Source organism: Homo sapiens, chromosome 17 (genome assembly GCF_000001405.40).
Source record: "Homo sapiens chromosome 17, GRCh38.p14 Primary Assembly".
NCBI classification, from domain to species: Eukaryota; Metazoa; Chordata; class Mammalia; order Primates; family Hominidae; genus Homo; species Homo sapiens.
This window is the reverse complement of record NC_000017.11, coordinates 13,658,106-13,677,620: the sequence shown is the minus strand read 5'-3', so window position 1 is coordinate 13,677,620 and position 19,515 is coordinate 13,658,106. Positions and strand designations below refer to the sequence as shown.

General features: G+C 39.0%; 2 annotated features.

Annotated features, from left to right (window-relative positions):
* Window positions 5,138-5,637: an enhancer, noted in NCBI's record as "H3K4me1 hESC enhancer chr17:13575301-13575800 (GRCh37/hg19 assembly coordinates)". NCBI's record gives its function as "activates a minimal SCP1, AML or CMV promoter by ChIP-STARR-seq in naive H9 embryonic stem cells {active_cell/tissue: H9 hESC(naive)}" and the evidence as "EXISTENCE:reporter gene assay evidence [ECO:0000049][PMID:30033119]".
* Window positions 5,638-6,139: an enhancer, noted in NCBI's record as "H3K4me1 hESC enhancer chr17:13574799-13575300 (GRCh37/hg19 assembly coordinates)". NCBI's record gives its function as "activates a minimal SCP1, AML or CMV promoter by ChIP-STARR-seq in primed H9 embryonic stem cells {active_cell/tissue: H9 hESC(primed)}" and the evidence as "EXISTENCE:reporter gene assay evidence [ECO:0000049][PMID:30033119]".

Here is a 19,515-nt window from a genome sequence, read left to right as displayed (position 1 = left end):
TCTATTCTGTTACATTGGTCTATATGCCTGCTTTTATACCAGTACCAAGCTGTTTTGGTAACTATAGCCTTGTAGTATGATTTGAAGTCTGGTAATGTGATGCCTCCGGATTTGTTCTTTTTGCTTCGGATTGCTTTAGCTATTTGGGCTCTTTTTTGGTTCCCTGTGAATTTTAGAACTGTTTTTCCTAATTCTGTTAAAAATGGTCTTGGTATTTTGATAGGAATTGCATTGAATCTGCAGATTACTTTGAGCAGTGTGGTCATTTTCGCAATATTGATTCTTCCAATTTGTCAGCATAGGATGCACTTTCATTTGTTTGTGTCGTGTGTAATTTTTTTTCAGCAGTGTTTTGTAGTTCTCCCTGTAGTGATCTTTTATGTCCTTGCTTAAGTATATTCCTAGGTATTTAATATTTTTTGCAGCTGTTGTAAAAGGCATTGGGTTCTTGATGTGAGTCTCAGCTTGGTTACTGGTGGCGTATAGCAGTGCTACTGATTTGTGTACATTGATTTTGTAATCTGAGACTTTACTGAATTCATTTATCAAATCTAAAAATATTTTGAAGGAGTCTTTGGAATTTTCTAGGTATACAATTTATATAATCTGCAGATGGTGATAGTTTGACTTTCTCTTTTCCAATTTGGATGCCCTTTATTTCTTTCTCTTGCCTAATTCCTCTGACTAGGACTTCCAGAACTATATTGAATAGGAGTGGTGAAAGTGGGCATCCTTGTCTTGTTACTTTTCTCAAGGGGAATGCTTTCAACTTTTCTCCATTCAGCATGATGTTGACTATGAGTTTGTCATATATGGCTTTTATTTTTTTTATTTTATTTATTTATTTATTAAAAAAAGACAGGGTCTTGCTACGTTGCTCAGGCTGGTCTCAAACTCAGGGACTCAAGCGATCCTCCCACCTTAGCCTCCCAACATGTTGGGATTACAGGCGTGAGCTGCTGTTCCTGGCCTGGCTTTTATTATTTTGAAATATGTCCATTCTATGCTGAGTTTTTTGACTTTTTATCAAAAAAAGCTACCAATTTTCTTTAATGCTTTTTCTGTATCTATTGAGATGATAATATAGTTTTTGTTTTCAAATTCTGTTTATGGGATGTATCACATTTATTGACTTGCATAGGTTAAATCATCCCTGCATTTCTGGGATGAAACCCACTTGATCATAATGAATTATCTTTTTGATGTGCTGTTGGATTCAGTTAGCTAGTATTTTGTTAAGGATTTTTGCATCTAAGTTCATCAGGGAAATTGTTCTGTCATTTTTGTTGTGGTTGTTGTGTCTTTTCCTGGTTTTGGTATCAGAGTGATACTAGCTTCATAGAATGATTTAGGGAGGATTCCTTCTTTTTCAATCTTTTGGAATAATTTCAGTAGAATTGGCACCAGTTCTTCTATGAATGTCTAGTAGAATTTAGCTGTGAATCCATCTGATCCTGGGCTTTTTTTTTTCTGTTGGCAATTTTTAAATTACTGATTCAATCTCGCTGCTTGTTACTAGTCTGTTTCTATTTCTTCCTAGTTTAATCTAGGAGGGCTGTATGTTTCCAGGAATTTATCCATTTCCTCTAGGTTTTCTAGCTTGTGCACATTAAGGTATTCATAGTAGTCTCGAATGATCTTTTGTATTTCTGTGGTGTCAGTTATAATGTCTCCAGTTTCATTTCTAATTGAGGTTTTTTGGATCTTCTCTCTTCTTTTCTTGGCTAATCTAGCTAATGATCTATTGATTTTGTTTATTTTTTTCAAATAACCAGCTTTTTCTTTCATTGATCTTTTAATTTTTTTGTTTGAATTTCATTTAGTTCTGCTCTTTTCTTTGTTATTTATTTCCTTCTTCTAGCTCTAGGTTCAGTTTGTTCTTGTTTCTCCAGTTACTTGAGGTGTGACATTAGGTTGTCAATGTGTGTTCTTTAAAACTTTTTGATGTAGGCATTTAGTGCTATAAGCTTTCCTCTTAGCTTTTGCTGTATCCCAGAGGTTTTGATAACTTGTGTCATTATTATCATTCAATTCAAATTATTTTTAAATTTCCATCTTGATTTCGTTGTTAACCCAGAGATCATTCAGGAGCAGATTATTTAATTCCATTTGTTTGTATAATTTTAGGGATTGTTTTTGGAGTTGACTTCTAGTTTTATTCTACTGTGGCCTGAGAAGATACTTGATATGATTTTGATTTCTTAAAATTTATTGAGACTTGTTTTGTGGCCACTCACATGGTCTATCTTGGAGAATGTTTCATGTACTGATGGGAAGAATGCATGTTCTTCAGATCTTGAGTAGAATATTCTGTAAATATCTGTTAAGTCCATTTGTTCTTGTGTGTCACTTAAGTCTATTGTTTCTCTGTTGACTTTCTGTCTTGAAGACCTGTCTAGTGCTGCCAGTGGTATACTGAAGTCTTTCACTAATATTGTTTTGCTGTCTATTTTGTTTCTCAGGTCTAGTAGTAATTGTTTTATGAATCTGGGAGCTCCAGTGTTTGGTGCATATAAATTGAGAATTATAATATCTTGTTAAATTAATTCATTTGTTATTATATAGTGACTATCATTGTCTTTTTTTTTTTTTTGAGATGGAGTCTCACTGTCACCCAGGCTGGAGTGCAGTGGTACGATCTCGGCTCACTGCAGGCTCCGCCCCTGGGGTTCACGCCATTCTCCTGCCTCAGCCTCCCAAGTAGCTGGGACTACAGGTGCCTGCCACCACGCCCGGCTAATTTGTCTTTTTTTTACTGTTGTTACTTTGAAGTCTGTTTTGTCTGATATAAAAATAGCTATTTTTGTGCATGCCTGTTAATCCCAGGGAGGTTGAAGTGGGTGAATCACCTGAGGTCAGGAGTTTGTGACCAGCCTGATTCACATGGTGAAACTTCGTCTCTACTAAATACAAAAAAATTTGTATTTTTTTTTGTACACTGGGTGTGGTGGCGCATGCCTGTAATCCGAGCTAATTGGGAGGCTGAGACAGGAGAATCACTTGTACCTGGGATGCGGAGGTTACAGTGAGCCGAAATCACACCATTGCACTCCAGCCTGGGCAACAAGAGTGAAACTCCATCTCAAAAAAAAAAAAAAAAAAAAAAAAAAAAAAGAAAGCTATTTCTGCTCTTTTTTGGTTTCCATTTATATGGAATACCTTTCTACCTTTTTCTATCCTTTTACCTTGAGTTTATATGACTCTTTCCAAGTTAGGTGAGTCTCTTGAAGACAACAGATACTTGGATTGTGATTTTTTATCCATTCGGCCATTCTATATCTTTTAAGTGGAGTGTTTAGGCCATTTACATTCAACATTAATATTGAGATGTGAGGAACTGTTCTCTTCATCGTGTTAATTCTTACCTAGATAGTTTTATTGCATTGTTATTGTTTTATATACCCTATGAGTTTTAAGTTTTCAAGAGGTTCTATTTTGATGCATATTGGGCTCTCATTTTAGGGTTTAGAACTCCTCTTAGTATTTGCTGTAATACTGGTTTAGTAGTGACAAGTTCCTTCAGCATTTGTCTGAAAATGACTTTATTTTTCCTTCATTTATGAAACTTAGTTTTGCAGGATACAAAATTATTGGCTGACAGTTGTGTAAGGAGGTTGAAGATGAGACTCCAGTCCCTCTAGCTTATAAGATTTCTGCTGAGAAGTCTGCTGGTAGTCTGATCAGTTTTCCTTTGTGGGTTACCTGATGCCTTTCTCTTACTGCTGAAGGAATTCTTTCCTTCATATTGCCTTTAGATAACCTAATGACTACATGACTTGCTGAAGATCTTTATGCTATGAATTTCCCAGGAGGATCACTTGTACCTGGGAGGCAGAGGTTACAGTGAGCCAAAATCGTGCCATTGCACTCCAACCTGGGCAAGAAAAGCGAAACTCTGTCTTGCAGTGTCCTGGATTTGGATATCTAGATTTCTATCCAGGCCAGAGAAGTTTTCCTCAATTATTCCCTCAAATAAGTTTTCCGGACTTAACTGTTTTCTCTTCTCCCTCAGGAACACTGATTATTCTTAGGTTTGGCCATTTTACATAATCCCTCATTTCTTGGAGACTTTGTTCATTTCTTTTGATTTCTTCTTTATTTTTGCCTAATTGATTAAATTCAAAAGCCTTGTCTTCAAGCTCTGAAATTTTTATTTTACTTGTTCTAGTCTATCATTAAAACTTTCCCCTGCATTTTGTAATTCTCTCAGTGTTTCTTTAATTTCCAGAACTTCTGATTTGGTTTTTCTTTATGATATTTCTCTCTCTAGAAATTTTTTAATTCATATCCTGAACTGCTTTTTTAATTTCTCTATGATGGTTTCACCTTCCTCTGATATCTCCTTGAGTAGCTTGATAATTGACCTTCTGAGTTCCTTATCTGGTATTTTGAAGATTTCATCTTAGTTTGGGTCCATTGCTGGAGAGCTAGTGTGATATTTTGTGGGTGTTATAGCATCCTGTTTTGTCATATTAACAGAGTTAGTTTTCTGGCTTCTTCTCATTCTTGAATGTACATATGATTTGACTGTGTTTCTTTGAGTTTGTTTGCTTGTTTGTTTTTAAATGCTTTTTTCCCCTTAAGGACAAGACTTTAATGCTTAAAGTTAATTATAGTCTAATTCAGTTATTGGTGCTTTCAGGGGTGATGACTCTATAAGAGTTCCTTGATTACAGAAAGTCTTTGTATGGTGGCTTTCTTATATGCTGGCTGTAGTAGCAATGTGCCAAATGTATGAGCAAGTTCACTATCTTCTAGGGGGTTGGAATGATCAAGGTATTTTAAAGCTTATCTTATCCCCCCCGTGGCATGCACTTTTTTTATTTATTTGTTTTTCCTCAATGTTTTATTTACTGGTTTGATGATTTAGGATTCATTCCTGGGTAGGAACTGGTTGCAGATAAAGCAGGTGGATAAATGAAGTTGCAACCTTGACAGAGGTGGGTGGAGGAGGCCTCAGTCTGTAGCACTAAGGTCTTATCAGGGGAAAGAGTTGGAGCTACTTCAGCTCCCCAGCTGGGTCAGCAGGAAAGGTATCCACCTCTCAGACACACTCCTGTCTCAGTGCTCTGGCTACTCACATCAGATAGGCACCCCTTTTCATCTGTAGGAATGTTGATGTTCCAAGCAGAGAAGAACTGTGACTCTGTCTCTCATGCAAGCCTGAACCTGGAGGGTGCTCCTTTTGTGGGGATGCAGTCACCCTGATAGATCCCAGAAAGGCTGTCTATAGTTGCACTCATGCTGAGATCTTGTGGAAGAAGCACCACTGTGCATACAGTGGTAGACAAGTGAGGAAAGATTTTTTCTTCTCCAAGACCCCTCATGTGCATCAGGGCTGTCTGACTATTGGGATAGAGCTGAAGACTTTTTCTGCTGGGTCCAGCACTGCAACTGTGCCTCTGCTGAAAGAAACTACACCAGCAAAATGATCCAGTGTTCAAGGCCTGCCATCCAGATTATTTTGTCCCACAGGGCGTTTCCTTGGTGTGGTGCACTCTCCCTTCCCCTAGAAGTGGGAGTCCCTGGGAGCCAGACTACTGTGAGCGAGCTGAGTTCCAGTCAGCCTGAAACTACCCTGAGTCATAAGCTTTCCCTGTGAAGACAGAAATTGCGGCTTTCAGGCCACGCCCCTCCCCATCGGCTGCAAAGCTGGACGCCTGGCTCCTCCATTCATGACTCCTACACTTGCAGCCTACTTTTCACTCTCCCGCTCACTCCAGCCCTGACCAAGGGAGTTCATCCCCATCTGAGGTTACATCATCATGATACCCAGCTGGGGACTTCTTTCAACCTGCGACCACTTCCTGAACTTTTTGGCAGTCCTCTGCAGGAACCCCTGTGAAGAACAGTAAGGAATAGCTGTCCCCCAGCTCGCACTGGGATCTGGGAATGCATGCAAGGGTCTTCCCACTGCTGCTCCTACTTTTATATTCCACAACCCTCCCAAAGTTGGTTCCTGTGCTGGGTGGGGTTAGGGCCTTCCCCTATGGCCTGGACTTTCAGGGTCCCTAGTGGGGGTGTATGTCTCAGAGGCAGTCTCTCCTTCTCTCACAATCTGGGGACTTGCAAGCCTTCACCTGACTCACAGTGTGGGCTGCAGCCTCCTGCTTCCTTCAAAGGGTATGTAATTCCTTCAGTTTTACTGTTCAGTTCCTGTGTTGCTTCTTGAAAAAAATTTCACAGTGTGAATCGCTACACGCTATTTCGTCCCTCCAAGTGGGAAAGGTATGCTAGCAATGCCTCTAATCTGCCCCTTTGAACAAAACAAACAAACACACAAAACAACTAGATGCTTTTTATTTTCTGCTTTTGCTTGATTGTTCTGGCGAGGACTTGCAGTGCTATGTTGAATAAGAGTGGTGAAAGTGGGTATCTTGTGTTCCAGTTCTTAAAGAAAAGGTTTTCAGCTTTTCCTTATTCAGAATGATGTTAGCTGTGGGCTTGTCATATGTGGCCTTTATTATGTTGAGGTATGTTCTTTCTATGCCTAGCTTGTTGAGAATTTTTATCATCAAGGGATGTTAAAATTTATGAAATGCTTTTCCTGCATTTATTGAGAAGAATTGTTACATGGTTTTTGTCCTTTATTCTGTCGATGTGATGTTTTATATTTATTGATTTGCATACGTTGAACCATCTTTTCATCCCTGGGATAAATCCCACTTGATCACGGTTTATTATTTATTCGATGTGCTGTAGAATTTGGTTTGTGAGTATTTTTGTTGGGATTTTTTGCATCTGTGTTCACCGGGGGTATTATCCTATAGTTTTCTTTTTTGTTGTTGTTGCATTCTTGTCTGCTTTTGGTAACAATGTAATACTGGTTTTGTAAGAATGAGTTACATTCTTATGAAAGGAGAATTCTCTCCTTTTCATTTTTTGGAATAGTTTGAGGAGAACTGGTGTTATTTATTTTTTGAAAGTTTGGTAGGATTCAGCAGTGAAGCTATTCAGTCCTGGATTTTTGTTGGGAGACGTTTATTATGGTTTCCATCTCATTACTTATTATTGGTCTGTTTAGGTTTTCTATTTCTTCCTGACTCAATGTTGGTAAATTGTATGTGTCCAGGAATTTATCCATTTTGTCTCAGTTCTCCAGTTTGTTCGTGTGTAATTGTTCATAATAGTCTTTAATGACCGTTTGTATTTCTGAGGTATCAGTTATAATGTTTCCTTTTTCATTTCTGATTTTTTTTTTTAGGTCTTCTTTCTTTCTTTTCTTGGCCAGTCTCACAAGTGGTTGATTAATTTTGTTTATATTTTCAAAAATCAGCTTTTTGTTTCATTCACCTTTGTATTTTTTTAAGTCTCTATTTTATTTAGTTCTGCTGTGATCTCTATTATTATTTTCCTTCTGCTAACATTGGGCTTAGTTTGCTGAGTTTTTTTATCCTTTCATTCAGTCTATACTATATTCTTTAAGAGGAAATTTCAATATATTTACATTTAAGGTTAGTATTGATATGTGAGGTCTTATTTCTTTCATTTTATTAATTCATTTCTGGTTGTTTTGTATATACTTTGTTCCTTTTTTTCTCTCTTAATATTCGTCATTGTGGTTTTCAGTAGTAGTAATATTTGAGTCTTTTCTTTTCCTTTTTCATATGTTTGCTCTACCGGGGGTATTTATGTTGTCATGTGTTTTTATGATTGTAGATACTGTTCTTTCACTTCCGGGTGTAAGACTCTTATGCAGTTTTTGTAGGGCCCATCTGGTGGTGATCAATTTCTTCAGGTTTTCCTTGTCTGTGATAGACTTAATTTCTCTTTCATTTATGAAGAAGAATATTACTGAGTCATCCTTGGCTGACAGATTTTTCTGTCAACACTTTGAACGTATCATGCTATTCTCCTCTGGTCTGTTAGGTTTCTGCTGAGAAATCATCTGTTAGGGTTTTGTTTTGTTTTTTTTTATAAGTGGCTAGATGCTTTTGTATTGCTATTTTCCAAATTTTTCCCTTTGACTTTTGACAGTTTGACTATAATGTGCCATAGAGAATACCTTTTTGCACTGTATCTGTTTGGGAATCTCTGAGCTTTCTGTATCTAAATGTCTAAATATCTTGCTAGACTTGGGAAGTCTTCATCTATTTTTTATTAAATTCATTTTTGAACTCTTTTGTTTTCTCTTCACCTTCTGGTATTCAGAGAATTTGAATATTTGGTGGCTTTGTGTTGTCCCATATATCACATAGTGTTTGCTCATTCTTTTAAATTCTGTTTTCTTTATTTTTGCCTAATTGGGTTATTTTTAAAGACCTGTCTTCAAGTTCTGAGATTCTTTTCTCTGCTTAATCCACTGTATTGTTGAAGCTTTTAAATGTACTTTATATTTCATTCAATTTTTTAGTTCTAGAATTTCTGTTTTTTTTTTAAATGATCTTTATCTTTCTGGCAAATTTCTCATTGATATTCTGCATTATTTTTATGATTAATTTGTATTGTGTAGTATTCTCTTGTATCTCACTGAACTTCTTGAAAATCAATATTTTAAATCCTTTCTTTAGGATTTTGTAATTTTTTTACAATTAGGATCTGTTGCTGGAGAATTATTGTGTTCCTTTGGAGATGCCTTATTTTCTTGCTTTTCTCTGTTTCCTATGTCCTTATGTTGATATATGCATATTTGGTGAGACAATTGCTTCCTTTAATTTTTTTGAATTTGCTTTCATAGGAGAGGATTTTTCTTGAAGATATATCTATGGTGTTGGTCGAGTAGGACACTTTGGTTTTGATTCTTGGTGCATGCAGTAGCGTAGTTTCTGTATGAGTTCCTCTGTAAACAAAATCAATGGTGTCTGTGATTTTCTTGGTGGCTTAAGGGGTTATTGTTAGTGAAGGCTGCAGTGAATTTTGCTTGAGACAGGGATGTCAGGTGGGCCAGTCTTCAGAACCCAGTGGTGGCAAGGGTGGCCTGAGTGTGCCTGTCCTTGGGATCTAGGGTGGCATATGCAGGCAGTGGTATTAGCAGGTCAGGTGGGCCAATTCTTGAGTCTCTAGGTAGCTTGCTTGGATTCTTATAATGGAGGAAGTAGGTAAGTTATTGGGCTCCTGAACAGCAAATGTGGCCCAGGTAATGGCAGTTAAGTGGTGGGACAACTCTCCGAGTCTTGAGTGGTGCACACTGCACAGTGGCTGTGTTGGGCTAGGTGGGTCAATTTCCAGGCCCACAGGTAGTACATGCAGATGGATTCTAGCCATGGTGGTAGTAGCAGGGTGGGTGTGTCCAACTGCAGGCACTTGGGAGGAGTGCTCACATGCCCAGATTCCCCTGCCTGCAGCTTCTGACACTCTGGGTTGCTGCCACCAGGGCTGAAGTGGCGAGTGGGAGGGAGGTTGATGCTGCCAGGCCGACAGTGGTGGACTGGCCTGGGTGGTCCCCAGGCCACTTTATTACATGCTCTGGCACTGGGAGCAGGGAGTGAAGCTGGGCCACGGGGGCTTGTCCTCAGTTCCCTGGCAGTGCAGGCACTGGCTGTGGTAGGCAGAGTCAGGGTGGTCCCCAGAATCTGGGTAGAATGTTCAGCTGGGGGGTAGCAACAGCTGCTACTGAAGAGGGCAGTGTTGCTCTCAGTGGCAGCCGCAGGCAGGCAGGTGAGGAGCGTGCACTTTGTTCATATTTCGGCCTTTGTGCTGGCAGCCCTCACTTTGCTTGTTCCTCAGCCCCGGCAGCAGCAACCTCCCTCCCACTCGCCACTTCAGCCCTGCTGGCGGCAACCCAGAGTGTCAGAAGCTGCAGGCAGGGGAATCTGGGCATGTGAAAATGCATGGTGGCTCCACTGCCAGGGGCAACGGAGTCACTGTTGGCGGCCCATGCCTTGGTTCTTTGCAGTCTATTGAGGGATGAGCTCTTAAAATGGCACCTTGCTGTAACTGCATAGGACTCTGGGCTGTGAGGGACGCACTGTGAGCTTCCTTGCTGGAGCGTTGTGTGGTCTCCAGGAAGCTCCCTATATCAGCTTCAGGGCCTGCTATAGTCAAGAGACTCTCCAGTGACTATGTTTGCAGGAGTCTATGGTGGGAATGTGGACCGCTGGGGGGGTCTCTGATTTACTCTTTCCTCACAATGGGGAGACTCTCCAGGTCCCCAGTCAGTCTCAACCCAGCAGGCTGCCTCATTTATCTTTCCTTCCCTGCTTTGGGGCTTCCTGTCACTTCTCTGTTGAATTCCAGTGTTCTCTCTCAGACGATCTATTTGAAGTGTTACTATCTGCTCACTATTTTGGTTCTTTGTGGAGAAGGTGAGTATGAGATGTCTGTAGTGAGCCATCTTGAAGCCTGTTCTATAACTGTCTTTGGTCAGTAAGCTATTATCCTGGGAAACAATATCTATTGTCATGCACAAAAATATCTTTACACATCGTGAAATGCTGTCACAGAGGGGAAGGGATGAACTTCAACTTTCAGAACCAGCACTAGCACCTGTGGTTTTTAATTCTTAGATTTTTCCAGGAGATCAAGACGTCATACCACCATTGTTAATTCCAAGTTGGTAAAGGTGTGTAACAGCCAAGGTAGCTGCTGTGCCTGAGGTCAGATGGTCTGGATCATTAAAAATAGTCTTTCAGCCAGGCGCAATGGCTCATGCCTGTAATCCCAGCACTTTGGGAGTCCGAGGCGGATGGATCACCAGAGGTCAGGAATTCGAGACCAGCCTAGCCAACATGGTGAAACCCCGTCTCTACTAAAAATACAAAAAGTAGCTGGGTGTGGTGGCGCACACCTGTAGTCCCAGCTACTCGGAAGGCTGAGGCAGGAGAATCGCTTGAAGCCGGGAGACAGAGGTTGTGGTAAGCCAAGATTGCACCACTGCACTTCAGCCTAGGCGTCAGAGCAAGAGTCCATCTCTCTCTCTCTCTCTCTCTCTCTCTCTCTATATATATATATACACACACAAGTATTATTTTATTTATTTATTTATTTTTCTACAGTAGGACAGCTGCTTTAACATCTATTTGCTCATGAATCCAAATTCTGGTCAACCTCTTAATAAAGAAGTGACCTCTGCCTGGCCGCCACACCGTCTGGGAAGTGAGGTGCCCCTCTGCCCGGCCACCCCGTCTGGGAAGTGAGGAGCACCTCTGCCCGGCTGCCCAACGTCTGGGAAGTGAGGATTGCCTCTGCCCGGCTGCCACCCAGTCTGGGAAGTGAGGAGCTCCCCTGCCCAGATGCCCACCATCTGGCAGAGGAGCGCCTCTGCCCGGCCACCGCCCTGTCTGGGATGTGAGGAGCACCTCTGCCCGGTCCCCCAACCCTCACCATCTGGGATGTGAGGAGCACCTCTGCCCGGCCCCCGCGTTGTCTGGGATGTGAGGAGCCCTCTGCCCAGCCGCCCCGTCTGGGAAGTGAGGAACATCTCTGCCCGGCCGCTGTGCAACCTTCCAATTGTGAAGTGATAGCCTTGTGTGTGATCTTTCTGCCTTCCCCAAGTTTGCATTTTCGACATTAAAGTTTACTTTTTAATTAAAAGTTAAAAATAGATAAATAATAAAGAAGTGGCCAAATTAACCTATCATCAAAAGCTTATTATGCTGACATACACAGTTTCCTTAGAAACAATGTATGTCTAAGCATATCTAGTCCTCTCTTCTCCAGAGTCTCCCAGAGATTTTCCATATGCAAGTCTTGCCTCCCTTATCTCAGGTTTTCTGTCTGTCAACCGTCTCCCCAGGTCAGGTCTTCTTTATAGGGATCCTCGTTTTAGGTGCTGCCCAGATGCTACTCCCAGCAGTGCAAAGGGTTTTATTCTCAGGATACGGAAAACTCATATTCAAGCTCTAGGTGAAGGAGCTAAAGACAAAAGCTGAGTCTAAAATGGCATGGATGTTGAGGTTGAGATAGTGAGTAAAGACTAGAGAACAGAAGAATAACTGAAAATAATTTCACTCTTTTTACCTACTACTTAGAGAAGACTATAACTTTAGATATACACACACACACACACAAATATATACATATTAGGTTGGTACAAAAGTAATTGCGGTTTCAGACTGTGAATTTTAAATCCATATAGCTAATTTCAGACACATCTTTATTAAGCAAAATAGGAACGATTACAGTCAACACATTCTTGCCAATGAGAAATAAGTTTGTTTATTCCTGTAGGTATAACAAGCCTTCCTTCAGGACTCGACGAACTCTTGGAAAGCATTTTCTGAATTCTGCTGGTTGTGAAAGCATTTTCCCTGCAAAACGTTGTCTAGATGCTTGAAGAAGTGGTAATCGGTTGGCAAGAGGTCATGTGAATATGGCGGATGAAGCAAAACTTCATAGCCCAATTCGTTCAACTTTTGAAGCATTGGTTGTGCGACATGCAGTTGGGAATTGTCATGGAGAAGAATTGGGTCCTTCCTGTTGACCAATGCTGGCTGCAGGCATTGCAGTTTTCCATGCATCTCATTGATTTGCCAAGCATTATTCTCAGATGTAATGGTTTTGCCAGGATTCAGAAAGCTGTAGTGGATCAGACTGGCAGCAGATCACCAAACAGTGACCATGACCTTTTTGTGGTGCAAGTTTGACTTTGGGAAGTGCCTTGGAGCTTCCTCTCAGTCCACCTACTGAGCTGGTCATTGCTGGTTGTCATATAAAATCCACTTTTCATCACATGTCACAATCCGATTGAGAAATGGTTCGTTGATGTTGCGTAGAATAAGAGAAGACAACACTTCAAAAATGACGATTTTTTACATTTTCACCCAGTTCATAAGGCACCCATTTATGGAGCTTTTTCACCTTTCCAATTTGCTTCCAATGCCAAATGACCATAGAATGGTCAACGTTGAGTTCTTCAGCAACTTATCATGTAGTTGTAAGAGGATCAGCTTCAATGATTGTTCTCAATTGGTCGTTGTCAACTTCTGATGGCCAGGCACTATGCTCCTCATATTTTTTTTTTTTGGGGGGACAGAGTCTCGCTTTGTCGCCCAGGCTGGAGTGCAGTGGCGCGATCTCGGCTCAATGCAAGCTCCACCTCCTGGGTTCACGCCATTCTTTTGCCTCAGCCTCCCGAGTAGCTGGGACTACAGGCGGCCACCACCTTGCGTGGCTAATTTTTTTTTGTATTTTTAGTAGAGACAGGGTTTCACCGTGTTAGCCACGATGGTCTCAATCTCCTGACCTCGTGATCCGCCCGCCTCAGCCTCCCAAAGTGCTGGAATTACAGGTGTGAGCCACCGCACCTGGCCTATGCTCCTCATCTTTAAGACTCTTGTCTCCTTTGCAAAACTTCTTGGACCACCGCTGCACTGTATGTTCATTAGCAGTTCCTGGGCCAAATGTGTTGTTTATGTTGCGAGTTGTCTCCACTGCTTTATGACCCATTTTGAAAAGCTCCAATTTACTTTTGGTCTAACATCATTTCCGTAGTCTAAAATAAATATAAAATAAACAGCAAGTAATAAGTCATTAGCAAAAAAAAAAAAACAAGACATGCATGAAAATGTGTAACATAACCACATTTATTTAAGAATGTATTCTAATATCAAATGCCAAATTTAAACAATGCAAAAACTGCAATTACTTTTGCGCCAATCTCATTGTATTTTCTAAAACACATTTTATATGATATATACATTCATATATAAGAGTATTTATATATGTATATTTATACGTAAATTTAAAAATACAACTCAAATAGCTACCAGAGTTAAACCCTTAATTCAGTAATTTACATGGCCCGCAATTCCTGTGAGAGATCAGAGTCACTTGTTCTGATTTCTACAGGAAGGCACTCTGAGAGCTGGACCCCTTTTTACTGGATAAGGAGCTGCGTCAAGCCTGGGCTTTACATCTTTTTGCACTACCCAGACAAAACAATCCCTGAGACCTCCTACTTGCCATGTCATTACCACTACAGAACCAAGGAGGGGCTGTACTTGCTTCCCTCTTAGATGTTCACTGTTTCATTCACACCCAAGATTCTCTAGAATTCAGAGAAATTCCCCAAAACTCTTTGGGCCCCTTTATCTTCCTAAGTCACATCTCAGAAAACTTCTCACTATTTGTGAAATCGACAGCCCACATCACAAGTACACCCCTGTGTCTTTTCCTTCTTCAACTTCCCCAACCAGCTGCTCTCTGTAGCATCAGGATTTGGATTATATCAATTCTTTTGACATTGCCTCTTTTGGATCTTTGTTTTCCTAAGGGGAGCCCAGTTTAATTGAGTGTGGATGTTAGTATCATACAATCAGCAGCCAGATGGTCCAGAGACAGGGATTTTGATACATGTGGTCTCTGTCCTTCAGAAGGAAGTGATTGCTGCTTCTCGCTGTGTCTGAGATGCTGTAGGTATTGGCAGTATTAACAATAGGCCTCTCAGTGCAAAGCAAACGTGACATATAATAGAGCACAATCTCATCCTGAGATGTCTTTCTCCTAGTATGCATCCTCCAGCCAGCAGAGTTCTGGAGAGAATTCTGAGACTGCCACAGGGCATCTGGTTCCAGTTCAAATTCGCAAAGTTTGTAAATGAGTGAACTGAGGCCCAGATAAGACTCCCTCAGAAAGTAAGTTACTGGCAGACACAAAACTAGAGGCCAGATTACTAAACTCTCATTATAGTGCTCAGTTTTACCCACATTCTGGATCTAGATAATTAAAATAGAATGCATAATCATTTACTGTATATCTAGTATATTGTATAGTAGTGTATACATAAATATTAAAAATTAATATAAAAAGTACATGAAAATACAAATAAGTTAACATAAAGAAAAGTCTCAAAGTGGTTATAACTGCATTGACACATGGAAGGAAACTGCTTTTACAAGAGAAACCAGGAGTCAAAAAAGTGATGTGACCTGGGGAGAGAGCTGCTGTGACATCCTCAGAATTTCTATGACTATGATAGTAACCCATGAAATTATTTGACATGTAAGTCTTGTGTATTGAGATATAGTGCAGTTGCCTAGACTTATGGAAATACTGAATGTGGAGGAGAGGATAGCCAATACCCCTCTTCCAAGTTCATTTCAATTGTTTATTCAACTAATATTAAGCTTTTATTATATTGTAGACACTGTGCAAAGCATTGGAAATGAAACAGGTGACCAGATCATCATGGAATTTTGTCCTGATGGTACTTAAGAGTCTTTAAGCCTAGAACTCTAACACCTGGTGTGACTACACTTAATAACTCCATAATATATACTGGAAATTTGTGAAGAGAGTAGATTCCAAGTGCTCTCAGCAAAAAAAAAAAACAAAAAGGGAAAAAAAAGATAGCTACATGAGGAGATGGACATGTTAATTTGTTTCAATGCAGTCATCATTTCAATATGAATATATACATCAAAACACACTGTACATGTTAAATATATACAACTTTTATTTTTAAAAACACTCTATGGAAGAATATGAAGTACGTCACAGAACGTCAGGAAAAACAAAGTAGTTTTATCAGAAAGCGTTGTGGAATTCCAACTTTAACTCATTGGGCATGCTTCCATATTTGCTGAATTGTCTAAAATTTTAGCTTTAATAAAATCATTTCTACTATACAAAAGTATAGTTGTGATGACAGTGTGATATTTCAGTGAGTCTAGATAAATATATCAATGAAAAGAATGTGGCTTCCAGAAGTAAACTCCTACGGACATGGTCATTGATGTTTGACAAGACCAATAAGGCAACTTAATGGGAAAAGTTTTCTCAACATACTGTGCAGGAACTGAATAGTTACGTGGAAGAAAGTAAGCCTTGATTCTCACTTCACCTGATACACAAAAATTTATTCAAGATGGGCAATAGAGCTAAAATAAGAGGTCGAATCATAAACCTGCATGAAGAAAATATAAAGGAATATTTACAACATTGGGGTAAGGAAATATTTAATAGCCAGCAAAGAAAAAGCACTAACAATAAGGGAAAAAATACTGAATTGGATTTTGTAGAAATTTAAAATTTCCGCTTAACAGAAAGGACCATGAAATTATTAAACAATCAAGCCACAAACTGCGAGAAAATATTATCAATACATATATCTCACAAAGAACTGTATCCTGAATGCCTGCAATTTAAAAAGTTTAAAAATAAAAATGAACAAAGACTTAGACACTATAAAAAGAAAGTGTACAATAAACACATGTCTATAAACATGTAAAAAGCTGCTCAACCTATCCAGTCTTCAGGAAGGCAGGCTGTCACCACATTCCCATGCAAATAACGGAAATAAAAATATTTGACAACAGCAAGTGTTGGTGAGAACAAGAAGCAACAGAACTCTCATTTATTGCTTGTAGGAGGTATAAAATGATGTAACTACTTGGGAAATTTACTAAACAAGTTCTTATACAGTTAGTCTTATACCTTCTCTTTGACCCTATTACCCTAGGAAATAACTTTAAGTAATGAATAAATAAATAACTACATCTACAAAAAGATTTGTGTAACAATATTAACAGCATTATTCATAATTGCCAAAATGAAATGAGCCAAATGTACAACAGAAAAATGTACATCAAGTACCCAGCAATAGGAGAAAATGAACTATTGATGCAATCAGCAACATGAATGAATCTAAAGAGTAATTATGTTGAGTGAAAAATGCCAGACACTAAATGATACGTACTGTGTAATTCACTTATATGAAGTCCTACTTCTGGCAAAACTAAGCTATGGTAATAGCAATATAAATCATGGTTACATTTGGTGGTGGTGGAGAGGGAGTGGTGGCTTGAAAGGAAACAAAGGAAAGTCTCAGGTTGATAGAGATGTTCTGTATCTTAATGGGGGTGGTGGTTACTTGGTAGTTACACTTGGATGTAAAGTCATCACATTACACACTTTAGTCTGTGCAATTTGTTTGCAGATAAATTATATCTCAATTTAAAAGGTTACACTGTGAAATATTTTTGATTCAGCCTTAAGTCTAAAAATCAACTAAAAAGCCCTGAAGGATATATATATATTCTTATATATATATTATTATATATATTTGTATATATATATTCTTATATATATTTGTAAATATATATTCTTATATATATATTCTTATACATACATCTATATGTATGTATATATTGAAAAAATGAATATTATTAAGATTTCAGTTCTTTCTCATTAACCTATATATTCAATGTACTTTCTATCAGAATACCAACAGACATTGTGCTGAACTTTAACAAGTTGGTTCTAAAAATTATAAAAACACAAACAGCAAAAGTGAATCTGGATAATATTTACATGAATTTTCACTGAGATGTCCATTTATATTTTGAGCACTTTTCTGGATATATTATAAATCAGTTAGAAAAGTTAAAAAGATTTACACCTTGAAGAATTCCATTCTAAATGTCTAAGAGAAATACATGTGCACAAAGATATATGCAGGAGAATGTTGACTGCTTATCGCTTTAAGAGCAAAGAATTGGAAACTGTCTAAATAGGAATATTTTAAATAAATAGCACTATTATTTCAACTATAAATTACTATCAAGCACTTACAGAATTTTAAATTACTATGTGGAAAATGTGATTACTCAATGATAGTTTGATTCCAATTACAAGTATGTTGTGCACATATTTCATATAGATGAACGGAATATATTTTGTATTATTTCAGTTTTTTCTTCACAGTTACCTTTATTTTATTTTATTTTTTCAATCAGAGTCTCGGTCTGTCACCCAGGCTGGAGTGCAGTGGTATGATCTCGGCTCACTGCCACCTCTGCCTTCCGAGTTCAAGCGATTCTCCTGCCTCAGCCTCCCGAGTAGCTGGGACTACAGGCACCCACCACCATGCCCAGCTAATTTTTGTATTTTTAGTAGAGATGGGGTTTCACCATCTTGGTCAGGCTGGTCTTGAACTCCTGACCTCGTGATCCACCCACCTCGGCCTCCCATAATGCTGGGATTACAGGCGTGAGCCACCGCACCTGGCCCACAGTTACCTTTAGAAAATTGAATTCATATTGCTGATGATGAAATGAGTGTATGGTAAGGGACTTTTTACTTTTTCTTCCAATTTTTTTTTCTTTCTTTTTGTCAGGTTGGATAATTTCTATTGATTTATCCTTAAGTTCATTCAATCTTCTGAATGTCCATTCTAATATTAACCCTATCCAGTAAATTTTAATTTGGATATTAAAATTTTCAATTCTAGAATTTCCATTTGATTTTTTGTATACTTTGTGAGATTTCCTATTTTTTAAATTTATTGTGGGCATATTTTTCTTTCTGTCTTTGAGCATAGGTAAAATTGTGGCTTTAAACTTATTGTCTGATAGCCATGACATCTGAGTCCTCTTAAAGTCAATTTCTGCTGATTCCCTTTTCTTTTGAGAATAGGTGGCATTTTCTTGTTTATTCATATTGTCAGTAATTTTGGATTGTGTGCTGGACATTGTTAATGATGTGTTGTAGGAACTCTGGCTTCTAATAGGTTCCTCGTGTTTTTGTGTTTTTTCCTTTTTTTTTTTTTTTTTTGAGATGGAGTCTTGCTCTGTCCCCCAGGCTGGAGTGCAGTGCAGTGGCACAATCTCGGCTCACTGCAACCTCTGCCACCTGGGTTCACGCCATTCTCCTGCCTCAGCCCCCTGAGTAGCTGGGACTACAGAGGCCACCACCACGCCTGGCTAATTTTTTGTATTTTTAGTAGAGACAGGGTTTCACCGTGTTAGCCAGGCTGGTCTCGATCTCCTGACCTCGTGATCTGCCCGCCTCTGCCTCCCAAAGTGCTGGGATTACAGGCGTGAGCCACCACACCCAGACAATGTTTTTTTCAATTGGGCAATTAACTTGGCTAAATTCAAGCTGAAAATTCTGTCTCCCCTGTGAGAAGCAGCAGCTGAAATGTTAGTCCTTTTAGCCTTAGCTGGGCTTCTTGGAGTCTACACTACATACACATGGTTAAGGGGTAAGACCAAGTTTGGAGTTTATACACATAATCCTGGGTATTCTCTCTAGGACTCTCTCATTTCCAGATGTTCCCCTTATTTTCTAGTGGCTCTAGTTACCCTGAACACTGTTTATGAAATTTCTATCCAGTAATTACTACTATTAATCCATTGCTGTATTTCCTCCTTACTCTCCTGTGTGCCTTGTATCTTTGTATATATAAATACCATGTATTTTGAATTAAAATTGGGTTTATTTTACAAACATATATTTTATATCTTGCTTTTATCAGTTAAAATTGCCTTTTGGGTATTTTCTTATATCATTATATATTATTCATCTTTCAATGTAGATATTTCCATAATTTCTCTTGGGTTGTTTTGAAATTATGCTATCATAAATAAGAGTGAAATCAATTTCTTTCACATAAAAGTTTATTCACCTCTCTGAATATTACCTTACTTCACACTTCTAAAAGCGAAATTACTAAAACTTGGGTTAAATAATTAACCTCACCATCTATCACTTCCTAGGCATTCTGGGTCACTGGATAATATGGAAACTGTTATGTTCATCCTCCTCAAGAAAAGGAAGTATGAACCTAAATGGTCAAATTGTGGGTCATTTATTGGGCTATGTTCACTGGAAGCTAGGTTCCAGAGTGTTAAATAT